General features: G+C 45.4%; 1 protein-coding gene and 2 pseudogenes across 3 annotated transcripts in view, besides 4 other annotated features; 1 reads left to right on the top strand and 2 right to left on the bottom strand.

Annotated features, from left to right (window-relative positions):
• The window catches only part of FAM81A (family with sequence similarity 81 member A), a 125,575-nt gene that overhangs the window by 2,661 nt on the left and 109,495 nt on the right, over window positions 1-13,419 (top strand). For all 3 annotated transcript variants that reach the window (XM_047432171.1, XM_047432170.1, XM_011521248.3), the window contains exon 2: window positions 1,635-1,717. The gene's annotated coding sequence lies outside the window, so the exon portion shown is untranslated. The remainder of the gene's footprint in view (window positions 1-1,634; window positions 1,718-13,419) is intronic.
• Window positions 825-1,471, bottom strand: NSA2P4 (NSA2 pseudogene 4; annotated as a pseudogene).
• Window positions 1,209-1,503: a silencer, noted in NCBI's record as "tiled region #1182; HepG2 Repressive non-DNase unmatched - State 20:ReprD". NCBI's record gives its function as "represses a minimal TATA promoter and a strong SV40 promoter by Sharpr-MPRA in HepG2 cells {active_cell/tissue: HepG2}" and the evidence as "EXISTENCE:reporter gene assay evidence [ECO:0000049][PMID:27701403]".
• Window positions 6,263-7,536, bottom strand: RPL7AP75 (ribosomal protein L7a pseudogene 75; annotated as a pseudogene).
• Window positions 7,035-7,124: a silencer, noted in NCBI's record as "silent region_6489". NCBI's record gives its function as "represses an Ori minimal core promoter by ATAC-STARR-seq in GM12878 lymphoblastoid cells {active_cell/tissue: GM12878}" and the evidence as "EXISTENCE:reporter gene assay evidence [ECO:0000049][PMID:35858748]".
• Window positions 10,840-10,889: an enhancer, noted in NCBI's record as "active region_9492". NCBI's record gives its function as "activates an Ori minimal core promoter by ATAC-STARR-seq in GM12878 lymphoblastoid cells {active_cell/tissue: GM12878}" and the evidence as "EXISTENCE:reporter gene assay evidence [ECO:0000049][PMID:35858748]".
• Window positions 10,900-10,979: an enhancer, noted in NCBI's record as "active region_9493". NCBI's record gives its function as "activates an Ori minimal core promoter by ATAC-STARR-seq in GM12878 lymphoblastoid cells {active_cell/tissue: GM12878}" and the evidence as "EXISTENCE:reporter gene assay evidence [ECO:0000049][PMID:35858748]".

Raw genomic sequence — 13,419 nt, forward strand, 5'->3', positions numbered from 1 at the left:
CTCCAGCCTCCTTGGCTGACTTTTGCCAATGCTCTGCCCTCCTTTCGGCCTTAGGTCTGTTCCAAGCTGCAATGCTCTTTTCTTCTCCCAGTGAATCCCAGTCTCTTTCTGTTGTCAGTGCCGGTTGCTTTCATGGGGGAAGTCTAAACTCCCAGTCTACTAAAAATCCTTGCACATTCCCTACTTTTCTTTCTCTTAATACACATGTTGGTTTATAATTTTACATTCACTGGTTGATTAGTGTTTCTATTGATGCATTTTTAGTAGGGTGATTCTTCCAGCTAAAGGGCTACAAAGGTTTCAAATTAATTCTGGAAACATTTTCTCTTTGCATATTTAAAGGGAAAGTGATCTTTTCTAACCTTTGCAGATAAGAGGAATGTTTGAAGTTAGAGTCCTAAAGCATTATTATTTTTATAATGATTTTGTATTTTTTTTCCATTTTAATGTTTGCAATTTAATAAATCTCTTGATGATTGCAGACATGTATGGCTGTTTGGTAGTATTCAGAAACATCACAGTAATGGCAGTTTTTTCAATTGGTGCGTAGTCCTCAATAATTATATATGAAATTGCTGTCGAACCAGTAAGACTGCATTTATGCATCCATCATTTTCAGGATTGTTGGTAACCTGGGCATATTTTCCCCAAATAACTGCCGCCTTGCATCACAAGGCCCAATTTGCTCACATTTACCTCCATGGCAGTACCTTTGGTAATAACACCCAAAGTTGTATACAGTGGGGACGACGGGTTCTTCTTTACACCAAATATTGGTAGGCAAAAGGTGACTTTCAGTTCAGGATATGTTACATGGGCTTTCTTGAAACGCAAGCCCATTGGCCTGATGAATCTTTCATACTTAGGTGGTATTCTTGTAAAGCCATCTTGAACAAAGCAGACATTAGTAACCACCCTCTTCCATGCCTTCTTCTTTCTCTTCCTTGTTCGAATAACTTTTAATACTTCTGTTTCTCCCTGGGCACATACTTTAGGCAGAGGGACTTCCCATTTTCCCGCCTTCTCTTTTCGTTTCTGTTTGATCATACTGGAAAGTACTTTAGCTCGAGATTGTCCCTCTCTGTCCAGCAGATAGGCAGGTACTGCTCCCTGTGGAGTCTTTTCAGCATTTTTTTTTTTTTTTGGTGTTTCTCTTTTCATGCATCTTGATAGTCTTTTTTATTTGTATTTTCTCAGCATGGCCCTGTTTATGGTAAGGCTTAGCCTTGAGACCAATCATTTTCTTTGCCTTCTTTGAACATTCATGAGCCTCTCGACTTTCTTTCTTTCTCTTTTTCTCATGGTAATCCAAACAGTATCCATGGTGTTTACAGTGTAATTCAATATATTTGTTCTGTGGCATGTTGACGCCGCAGAGCTGCCAGGAGCAGCCCCTGGGGTGCGAAAAACGCTCTCAATTTTCGGGTCTTAGAGACCCATGAGCTGACGCCGTGCAGGCCTGACAGGAGAGTGATTTTATATTAACTTTGCTATTGCTTTATACTGCTATAAAGTAATAAACTCAAATTTCTATCCCACGTGTTACTGATCAGCCGTGGATAATGTTAGGAGGATGCCCTAGTTTTGGGGGTGGCTATCTTAATATTCCTTAATATCCCTTAACTGTTTTGCAGATCCAGAACATTTCTGCCTTCAACTCCAGCAAGGATCTGAAGGTCCAGGACCTTAGGAAAGCTGCCTGCAGAGAGGTGGAGAGGTAACAGCATGTGGGACGGGGAGAGTCTGCTTGTATTCTTCTGCCTCCCACACCCCAACGTTTAGGAACAAGCCTCATGCCCATTATACTCACAACGAGTTACAGACTAGTGGCTCACAGGCCAACTTAGTCCCTTACATGTGTTTGGCTTGGCTAGAAGGATATTTTAAATTATTATTATTTAATTTTATTTTTATTTCGAGACAGCGTCTCACTCTGTCTTCCAGGTTGGAGGGCAGTGGCTTGATTTTGGCTCACTGCAACCTCTGCTTCCCGGGTTCAAGCGTTTCTCCTGCCTCAGCCTCCCAAGTAGCTGGGATTACAAGCATGTCCCAACAAGCCTGGATATTTTTTTGGGGGGTGGGGGGGATATTTAGTAGAGATGGGGTTTCACCATGTTAGCCAGGCTGGTCTCGAACTCCTGGCCTCAAGTGATCCACCTGCCTTGGCCTCCCAAAGTGCTGGGATTACAGCTGTGAGCCACCACGCCCGGCCTCTATTCCTTTTACAATATGCTTTAATAGCATTTCTAAATCATCTTCATAGGGGTCTTATATATATATTCTTTGTTAGGTAAAATTTGAGATATTATGATTGTTGTTACTACAGTGAACTGAGTCCTACCTGTTATTGCATTTTCTAGTGGGTTATTGCCGATGTAGAGGAACGCTACTGATTTATATAGGTTCTAGTTCATTTAGTTCATGGGTCTATAATTTCTCTGCCTGAGCCACTGTCTTTACCTCATGCTCCATCAGAGGTCTCTGATAGTTTCAGGGTGTCCAGAGAAATCCATTCATTTACCCATATCTTTACTGAATATTTATTGAGAACTTCGGTTATGAAGTGGGCTACCCCCCCATCCCACACCCCCACATTCATATGTTGAAGCCCTAACCCCCAATATGACTGTATTTGGAGATCCGGCATTTAAAGAGGAAATTAAGGTTAAATGAGACCATAAGATTGGAGTCCTAATTAGATAGAACTTGTGTTCTTAAAAGAAGAGAGAGACATCCGAGCTCCCCCAACTCCTAAGCATAGACAGAGAAAAGGCCACACAAGGACACAGTGAGAAGGTGGCTGTCTGCAAGCAGGGGAGAGGGGTCTCGTCAGAACCCAATCCCACTGGCACCTTGGTCTTGGACTTCCAGCCTCGAACTGGGAGAATATACATTTATGTTGCTTAAGACACCCTGACACTGTTATGGCAGCCGAAGCAGATGAGTACAGCCTCTCTATGCCCTAGTTCCTCTGGTTATTTTATGGAAGTGTTATCTCTGGCTAGAAAGCCTTACCTAGGGTCTTCTTTCAATTTAGGCAGTGGAGATCTGGTTAGAGTTGAAGAGATGTTTTAAAAAAACAAAGAGAATTAGCATTCATGGCACACAGGGAGGTAATTGATTTCTTTTCAGTTAAAATACTTTAAATTGCAAATTTCTTCCAAATCTTAATAAACATTTTTTTTCAGTGTTTTCAAGACTCAATATCAGAGAATTGATGGGGACCAAATTGTTTCTTTTCTTTTCTTTTTTTTTTTTTTGAGACAGAGTCTCACTCTGTCACCCAGGCTGGAGTGCAGTAGAGTGATCTCGGCTCACTGCAACCTCTGCCTCCTGGGTTCAAGCGATTCTCCTGCCTTAGCCTCTGAGTAGCTGGGACTACAGGCGTGCGCCACCATAGCTGGCTAGTTTTTGTATTTTTAGTAGAGACGGGGTTTCACCATGTTGGCCAGGATGGTCTCGATCTCTTGACCTCATGATTCGCCCGCCTCGGCCTCCCAAAAGTGCTGGGATTACAGGCCTGAACCACCATGCCCGGCCTGAATTGTTTCTAAAGGTAAACCTCTACAAACAAACCCATTGATTCTCAGGGCAAAAAAGGAGAGGGAGACACACCTATACACGAGGCCTAAGTGGGAAAGAGAAGATCCATCAGGAAGAGAAAATGGGAGGAGAGACCCATCTCCTCATTCCAGCAAGTCAGAGTCCATAGCCCATATTTCTTCCCACCTTAGACAAGGCCATGAGACTTTCTCAGGTAGAAAGGCTGTTCACTTTGGTGTGGAATCCTGTAGCAGTTTGGTGAGAAAGTTTCTATACATTCTTTGTTTTTTTTTAGAGACACAGTCTCGCTCTGTTGCCCAGGCTGGAGAGCAGTGGAGCGACCATAGCTCACTGTAGCCTCCAACTCCTGGGCTCAAGCCGTCCTCCTACCTCAGCCTCCTGATTGAGACGACACATATGCACCACTACACCCACCTCATTTTTGTAGTTTTTGTAGAGATGGAGTCTCACTATGTTGCTCAGGCTGGCCTCCAGCCCCTGGCCTCAAGTGGTCCTCCCACCTTGGCCTCCCAAAGTGCTGGAATTGTAGGCATTAGCCACCATGCCCAGCTCATATTCTTCACAACAGCTGGAATAACCTCAAGATCAGATCACTTGCTATACTGTTCAAAACTCTTCCAATGGCTTTTCAACACATCTGAAATGAAATCCATGTGTTTCTCATGGCCAGTAAAGCTAGTAGGTCTGGGCCCTAACCATCACCCTGAAATAATCTCCTACCACCCTGCTTCCATCTCACTCTGTCCCAGCTACACTGGCTTCTTTGTGCTCTTTGAACACACAGAGCTGACACCAAACCCAGGGCCTTTGCATGCTCTCTTCTGTCTGCCAAGAGTGCTCTTTCTTCCAAGCTTTGTTTCTTTTGCTCCCTCAAAGCCCTGCTAACATGTAACTTCCTCAGAGAGGTCTTCCCTGACCACTCAGTCTAAGCCATCTCGCCTCCTGCACATCCTTTCCTTGTTAGCAGTTAGGTTATAGAGTCATTTGATTATTTCTTTATGATCTGTCTTCCACTACAATATAAGGTCTGTGAGAGCAGGAATTTGGTAATGTATGTGGGATGAATGAATGAACAGGCCTGCCAAGAACAGAGTGGGAGGGGTTTGGGAGGGTACAAAGAATACAACCGTATGCCTCTTTCCGCTAAGAATTAGACCGGGCTCTGTGGCTCACACCTGGAATCCCAGCACTTTAGGAGGCTGAGGCGGGTGGATCTCTTAAGGTCAGGAGTTCGAGACCAGCCAGGACAACATGGCAAAACCCCGTCTGTACTAAAAAGATGAAAATTAGCTGAGCATGGTGGTGCATGCCTGTAATCCCAGCTACTTGGGAGGCTGATGGGGGAGGATCGCTTGAACCCTGGAGGCAGGGGCTGCAGTGAGCCGAGATCACGCCACTGCACACCAGCCTGGGCGACAGAGTGAGACTTCATCTCAAAAAAAAAGAATAATGATAATAATTGCTACTACTTCATCCTGTCCATCCCATGTCCCTAAAAACTTCAGCATAAGTGCACTCCACACACAAGGAGAGAACAAACCCTCTTACTGGCCTTGGGCCCATCCCTCTTTCTCCCACACTGCTACTTTTGAGTTATCTCATTTTGCTCCCAATAGTCAGCCTTGACTTTTCTGGGCTTACCTGGGCATCAGGGACCCATGTTGCACATTCAGTTGTCCCGATTATGTCTGCCTTAGAGCGTCTCCTAGGGCAGCCAGTCTGGAACAGTCAGTCACCTAGGGTCCTGGAGCTCCTGCAGTCTGCCACTCGCTCCTTCTGCCTGATAACAAATACTATTCCTTTTATCCTTGCAACTCGACCCAGAAAGAGGTGGCTGTCAATGTCCAAGGCCCCTGGAAACGAAGACTGGAAATGTGAAACCACTGGGCACAGGGGAATGGGTGGGTCTGAGAGTCTGAAAGACAGTGCTAGAGCATGTGCCTTCCAGATCATTCTCATTGAAAAATTCAGAATGACCTCCCCTCCCCAAGCCAAGAAAGGATAAACACTGACACCTGCCTACCTTCTCACATTCTAATTTCTAAGGTAAAATAAAATGCATTAAGAATCTGTAAGTTATCTCATTTAACTGGCACTCTGCTTTATGAGATACGCACTATCATCACCCACTTACAGATGAGGAGATTGAGGCTGGGGGATGTGAAATCATTTATTTCAGTTCACATGGTTTGCGAGCAGTGGAGTCAGGATCCTAAAGTAGATACTAACCAGTGCTATTTGGCATACCAATTTAAATCAGTTACCTACACTAACTTTAAAACAACATCAGCTTTATTAAGGCAAATTTATATATCATAAAGTTCACCCACTTTAAGTGTACAATTTGATAATTTTAGTAAGTTTGCAGAGTTGTGCAACCATCACCACAATCCAGTTTTAGAACATTTCCACTACCCCAAAATGTTTCCTCATGTCCATTTTCGGTTCATACCCACTCCTACCCCCAGCTCTAGGCAACCGCTGATCTACTTTCTGTCTCTATAAATTTGCTGTTTATAGAGAAATGAAATCATCCTGCACGATCTTTTACTACAAGCTGCATTTGTTTTGTGAAGACTGTTCAGCTCAGTTCTCAACATTCAGTTCAGAGGTGTGCACTGGCTTAGCACAAGAAGGAAGGTATTGTAACTCCACTTTTGCAAGACGTCTGGAGGGAAAGTTTTTTTTTTTTTTTTTTAAGGAGAATTTGTATTATTTTAATTATTTTTATGTGCAGAAAACTCAACAGCGTACATTTAACCCAGTTTGGTGGCAAGTTCTTTAGCCTTGGCTTTTCCAGCTTGGCAATGAGAGCCACAGACTTGGGAGCCAGGACATTGCCTCCCCAGTGATGATGGATCTCATCGTATCTGCTGTTCTAATTGGTTCTGATGGCTTCCTCCAGCTGAGCCGAAGCTTCTTTGTCTTCCAAGTTAGGCTGTGTGGTGACAGTGGTGCAGGTGTTCCTGTGGACTAGACATCCCAGTCTTACCTTCCCCTTGATAATGCAGTCAGTGACCTTTATTTTACAACACAGAAAAATGCACTATCAACTATCATCACCCACTTTCTTTTCTTTTCTTTCCTTTTTTTTTTTTTTTTTTTTTGAGACAGAGTCTCGCTCTGTCGCCCAGGCTGGAGTGCAGTGGCACAATCTCAGCTCCCTGTAAGCTCCACCTCCTGGGTTCACGCTATTCTCCTGCCTCAGCCTCCCCAGTATCTGGGACTACAGGCACCCGCCACCACGCCCGGGTAATTGTTTTGTATTTTTAGTAGAGACGGGGTTTCACCATGTTAGCCAGGATGGTCTTGATCTCCTGACCTCGTGATCTGCCTGCCTCGGCCTCCCAAAGTGCTGGGATTACAGGTGTAAGCCACCACACCCGGCCTATCATCACCCACTTTCCAGATGAGGCGGCTGAGGCTGGGGGCAGGCAGAAGACAACTAGCTCGATGGGATCCACATCATGTCCAGTCACCACCAGCTGAGCCTTCTTATTCTCCACCAAGGTGGCAATGGTGATAACTCCTGCTCGAAAAACAGGTGGTCTCTTAGTGGGGAAGTCCCCTTTGCTGGCAGCTTTCTTCTCAGTCCAGGCCAGCAGCCTCTGCTTCTTCTCTTGCTTTGTCTCTGGTCTGTACTAGTGGGCCAGCTTATGTATTACAGTTGAGTAGCTCTTTGGGGGTCCAAGGCCTGGGTGAACTGGTTCGTTGCAGGAGGCACTTTCAGCCATGTTTAGAGGATCGCTCTTTGCCTCTGCAACCTGATAAAGTGGGGCCATTTGACAAAGCAAGTGAGGTCCCTTTTGGGTTGGGTGTGCTGTCCAATGCCAAGATTCTTAGGCCTTTTCTCCAACACGGGATTCACCACTTTCCTGGCCTCCTGCTTCTTCGCGACAGCAGCAGCTGGAGCCACCTTCTTCCCCTTGGCCTTCTTCCCTTTTGGCATCTTGGGCGGTGGGAGGAAAGAGAGGAACAAATGTTTTTGTTTGATAACTATTCCAGGCTTCTGAGGACAGAGACTAGGCACTACCAGGCTGATAGCAGAAAATCAGGGTGGAGGTGATTGTGGGGTTGGGGAATCATACCTGTTTCTTTTGTTGTTGTTGTTGTTTTACTTCTTAAAATATTTGAAATAGTTTATTTTAATTCATGGACTTTTTAACTCCAAATAATTTCAAGGATGGCTCCATTTAAAATAAAATACAGCTGGGTGCAATGGCTCATGCCTATAATCCTAGCACTTTGGGAGGCTGAGGCGGGTGGATCACCTGAGGTCAAGTGTCCAAGACCAACCTGGCCACGTTGTAAAACCCCATCTCTATTAAAAATACAAAAATTAGCTGGGCACTGTGGCTCACGCCTGTAATCCCAGCAATTTGGGAGGCCAAGGCAGGTGGATTACGAGGTCAGGAGATAGAGACCATCCTGGCTAACACAGTGAAAACCCATCTGTACTAAAAATACAAAAAAATGAGCTGGGCATGGTGGTGCGCACCTGTAATCCCAGCTACTCCGGAGGCTGAGGCAGGAGACTCTCTTGAACCTGAGAGGCGGAGGTTGCAGTGAGCTGAGATCACGCCATTGCACTCCAGCCTGGGCGACAAGAGTGAAACTCTGTCTTAAAAAAACAAATAAAAATAAATAAAATACAAAGAACAAAATGAAGCCCTAAATATCTGATTTAAAAATGTAATCTGGCTGGTCTGAAGGCAGTGAGTTATCTCACTTTGATTGTTCACAGTCAGTTACAGATAAAACACCTTGTTCTCTTTCCCTACTTCTTGCTACTGTACTTGACTAATCTTTAAAAATAAAATTTAATAAAATTTTAAAAATTAAAACGTCATCAAAAGGGCTGCCCTGAAGTGATTCAGCTCATCTCTATCCAGTCGGATAGCTCCTACCTGAAAGGGGAAGCGAGGAAGATGATACTCCTATTCCCTCCTCCAGACACCCACTTATTCCACTTACAGACATGCAAGGTTTGGAATGTTTGTTTCTACTCCAGGTCTGGGTCCAGTGCAGTGACACTGGGGCTCTCACTCTCCTGCCTCCGGACTCTCCATTATGCCCGAAGATGCCTTTCTCCGGGACAGTCAGAAGTTACCGCCCCAAACCAGAGAATTGGTCTCCTTTCTTCCCTGCCTGATCACCGTCCCTGTCCCTCTGAGAAAAATCCCTCTTCCATCCAGAGAGAAAACAATACCCCCTACTTCATGCTTCATGACCATGTGGTTCATTCCAACCCCTTCATCCCCATTTCTCTTCTTGGCAGGAACAAAGTCTTTTCAAAGCTGGAGAGGTAGTGCCCAGACTCCTTGAAGAGGTCCCAGGGAAAGGGGATGTTCTCCTCTCCTTTCCCCACAGATCACTCACCGGGACTGTCTTTTCTGTACAAGACAGACGTGAAAAAAAGCCAGTTTTCGATTTTCTTTACAAGTTTCTGTAGGTGCAAAGGCTTGGGCAGAATGACTAGAAGACATGTCCTCATCAATAATAATAATAGCTAACATTTATTAACCATGCACTATATGCTATACTCTGAACGTTTTATCTGCTTTTTTTCTCATCCAATAGTCAGAATAACTCTATATTAGCCTCACTTTACAAAAAAATTTAGCATTTTGTTATAGAACAGAAATTATGCAGAATTATTAAATTATTGGTGCCACAGACATTTTACTGTATCTGTATTATTAGTACAGAAATTATTATTAAGGCACAGAAATTATTAGTACAAAGATGATATCAGTACTATTATTATAATATAGAAATCAGTACTATTATTATAATATAGAAATTACTAGTGCAGGCCGGGCATTGTGGCTCACGGCTGTAATCCCAAAACTATGGGAGGCTGAGGCGGCGGATTACGAGGTCAGGAGAGTGAGACCAACCTGGCCAACATGGTGAAATCCCGTCTCTACTAAAAATACAAATTTGTCAGGCATGGTGGCGTGCACCTGTAGTCCCAGCTACCTAGGAGGCTGAGGCAGAGAATAGCTGGAACCCGGGAGGTAGAGGTTGCAGTGAGTTGAGATTGCACCATTGCACTCCAGCCTGGGCAACAAGAGCGAAACTCCATGTCCAAAAAAAAGAAGAAGAAGAAGAAATTACTAGTACAGAAGAAAGTTTCAGAAAACTGAGGCTTAAAGAGGTTAAGCTAACTTATCCAAGGTTACAGAGTTAGTAGAGCTAGCTGAATTCAGTCCACACAAATAACTTAGCTCTTAACCTTAAGTAAACCTTATCCTCCTCTGTGCCTCCCACACTCACCTCTGGCTTCCTCCCTGGGATGAGTGAGGCAAGAAGGAGAATATGAGCTGTGGACTACGAGAAAAAAACCAGAGTGACTGAAGGAGAAGGAACTCCTGGTCCTTCCTGGTGACCCAGAGCCAACAGAGAAATGGGTAACTCATTAACCAGAGAACAGTCCCACATCCTGTGTGTGAAAGAAAGAAACATTTTAAAAGTTAGAAAATGCATTTGAACAATGTTGTATTTAAACCAAGCTCAAGCAACAGATGTTTCTTTACTTTTCTTTGAGACAGTGTCTTGCTCTGTTGGCTCCTTCACCCAGGCTATTGTGCAGTGGCTGATCTCGGCTTACTGATCTTGGCTGAATTCCACCTGCTGAGTTCAAGTAACTCTCCTGCCTCAGCCTCCTGAATAGCTGGGATTACAGGCATGCGTCACCACACCCAGCTAATTTTTGTATTTTTAGTAGAGACGGGTTTCACCATGTTGGTCAGGCTGGTCTCGAACTCCTGGCCTCAAATGATCCTTTTGCCTCGGCCTCCCAAAGTGCTGGGATTACAGAGGTGAGCCACCGCGCCAGGCCCAGATGTTTCTTTAGTATAGATTTTACACCAGGCTTTTCATTCAGCTTTTGAACATTATGTTAAAGTATATTAGCTTTTATAATTACTTTATTCTAAGATCTTGCCCTGTGAATGACCCCAAATATCATAACGCACAGATCAAGGAGGGTTAGGGACCATGCACAGAGCACAGGCTGGGATTTGCTTTGGGAACAGTCGCTGGGGCAGAGGATGCCTGCTGGAGGGAAGGGCTCTTTCTATGTACGGTTGCTGGGAGCCCAGGACTGGACTCAGAGGAGAAGATGAGTATCAATCCATAGCAGAAACAAAGAGGTATATATGCATCTTCCAATAGAGATCACTGGGGTTCCCACAAGAAAAGTTGACAAATAGCTCAGCTGGAAACATGAAGAGGGGAAGTAAATTACTCAGAGTATTGATCAGAATGTATACAGTAGCCCTCAAACGCAACAAACTCAGCACAGCTGCACCCACTTCTCCTTCAGAGCAGGGAAAAGACAAAAGTTTCAGAAACTTTCCATCTTCTCACCCTCATAGGTGTGAAATCATCTCCCTCCACCAGGAGGAAGAAAATACTTTAATTGGCCAGATGCAGTGGTTCACTCCTGTAATCCCAGCACTTTGGGAGGCCGAGATGAAAGGATCGCTTGAGGCCAGGAGTTTGAGACCAGCCTGGCCAACATGGTGAAACCCCATCTCTACTAAAAATACAAAAATTAGCCAGGCATGGCAGGCACCTGTAGTCCCAGCTGAGTCTGGGGGCTGAGGCAGGAGAGTCCCTTGAACCCAGGAGGTGGAGGTTGCAGTGAGCCGAGACTGCACCACTGCAATCCGTCTCAACAACAACAACAACAAAAATACTTTAATCTTTATTTGTCTTAGGTGAGTGCCCTGGGGTGGAACCTGCTGCAGCCTTTACTTGAGTGGGCAGAAAAAGAAACAAACAAAAAAAAAAAACGGGGGATGAGAGGCTATTACAGTGAAGAGAAAGGGGGAGAATGGGATAGAGTGAGGTGGGAGGGGCAGAGGGGAGAGGCCACAAGGAGGGCTTCGATTTTGGGGGCTGTTGGCCTAGATCTGCATGTGGGCCCAGCTTCTCTGTTCCTCTGAGTGGGGAGATTGTGCTATAGAGACAGTCCAGCATAGTGGACTGGGGGCTGGGACTCCTAAGATGGGGCAGTAAGGTTGCAAATTTGGGGCAGTTTAGTGTTTATGATGGCACGGGAGGTTCAGGAGTTTTGTTGGGGAGAGAAAAGACTTGCTGAAACAGAAAAGACTTGCTGTAAAGCAGTTATTCATGAAGGAGAAACTTTCTTCAGTCAGAATTTATGTTGCTACCCCGCAAGCTGGTTTTTGGATTAATCAAAAGACGGTTCCAAAGAATAGTGTTACAAGCCGGGCACAGTGGCTCATGTCTGTAATCCCAACGCTTTGGGAGGCTGAGGCTGGTGGATCTCTTGAGCCCAGGAATTTAAGATTAGCCTCGGCAACATGGCGAAACCCTATCTCTACAAAAAAATACAAAAATTAGCTTGGCGTGGTGGTATGCGTCTGTAGTCCCAGCTATTCTGGAGGTTGAGGTGGGAGAATTGCCTGAGTCCAGGAGGTTGAGGCTGCAGTGAGCTGTGATCGCACCATTGCACTCCAGCCTGGGTGACCCTGTCACAGAAAAAAAAAAAGGTGTTACGGTGTTACAGTGGGTCCCTCCCTGGACTGTCTCTGCTGCCATCTGCTGTGGAGTGGCCCGAGGGAAACTCTGGGCATCGGGGTAGGAAGGCAGAGTGTTGCCCCAGGCCTTTCTGGGCTTTCCTCTGTTGACATTAAAATTAGCCTTGAACTGGTTGAGAAAGGTCCTCCCTGAGCTCCTTTTCAGGGGGAAAGAAATCAATCAAAAATTAAAACGTAAGAAAAACCAAACACACGTACCCTGTGTTGTAAACATGCTACCTTAAGTGAAGGTGCAGATCAAGAGAGAGAAACCAGAATTTCACAGTTTTGTTATACGTGCAGCTCCCTTGGGAGCAACAGCACGCCACACAAGGCCACTCAGGTGAAGCCCCAGGTCAGTCACGTGGCAAAGGGGGAGAAGGGGTGGCTGTGGAAATTCTCCTTTCTTGTGGTCTCTGTGGGAGATGGGGGAACATGGCTTACTACTGGCTAATTTGAATAATTTCACTGGGCTCTGGGACATAGGGGCTGTCCCTCGTTGTCTGGCACCTGGCCCAGGGCAGTTAGGGTGGGTGTGTGGTAGCCCAGAGTGTGAGGGCCCAGTCAGGGAGGTGGTTGAGGTGCGAACGTAACTGGCTGCCCAAGAGGAGGAACTGACCATCTCTAGCCAGGGCCTCAAAACTGGGTTGAGAGCATTAAACACACACACACACACACACACACACACACACACACACACACACAACCACCCACCCTATATCACACCCTGTGAACTGAGGAATTAATAGCTGATTTTCTTATTTCAGGGGATATAATCTTGGGCAAATCAAAAAGTCTCTGTACTTGAGCCTAAATATGCAAACAGAGTTCTAAGCCATTATCTGCTGTTCCTTATTGTAGCATGCAAGAGCTCTTGTTTTGGTCAGGTATGGTGGCTCCTGCCTGTAATCCCAGCACTTTGCAAAGCAGTGGCGGGAGGATAGCTTGAGGCCAGAGTCTGAGACCAGCCTGGGCAGCATAGTGAGACCCCTGTCTCTAAAAAAAAGAGTTCCTGTTTAAGCCATTGGTAGATGGCTGTTTTCATTTCCTCAGCAAACCTATTTGCTTGGGAAGCCACAGCCCACAGCTTCCTCCCAGGTGTTCTTATCATCCTTGAGAAGGGAGAGATGAGGGTCAGGCTGCTGTGAGGCTCTGGCAGGTAGAATGGTAGCCCTCCCAAAGACGTCCACATTCTAATTCTTTTTCTTTTTTTAGAGACAGAATCTCACTCTGTCACCCAGGCTGGAGAGCAGTGGCATGATCTCGGCTCACTGCAACCTCCATCTCCCGGGTTCAAGCGATT

The sequence above is a fragment of the Homo sapiens genome, chromosome 15, assembly GCF_000001405.40.
Source record: "Homo sapiens chromosome 15, GRCh38.p14 Primary Assembly".
Lineage (NCBI taxonomy): Eukaryota > Metazoa > Chordata > Mammalia > Primates > Hominidae > Homo > Homo sapiens.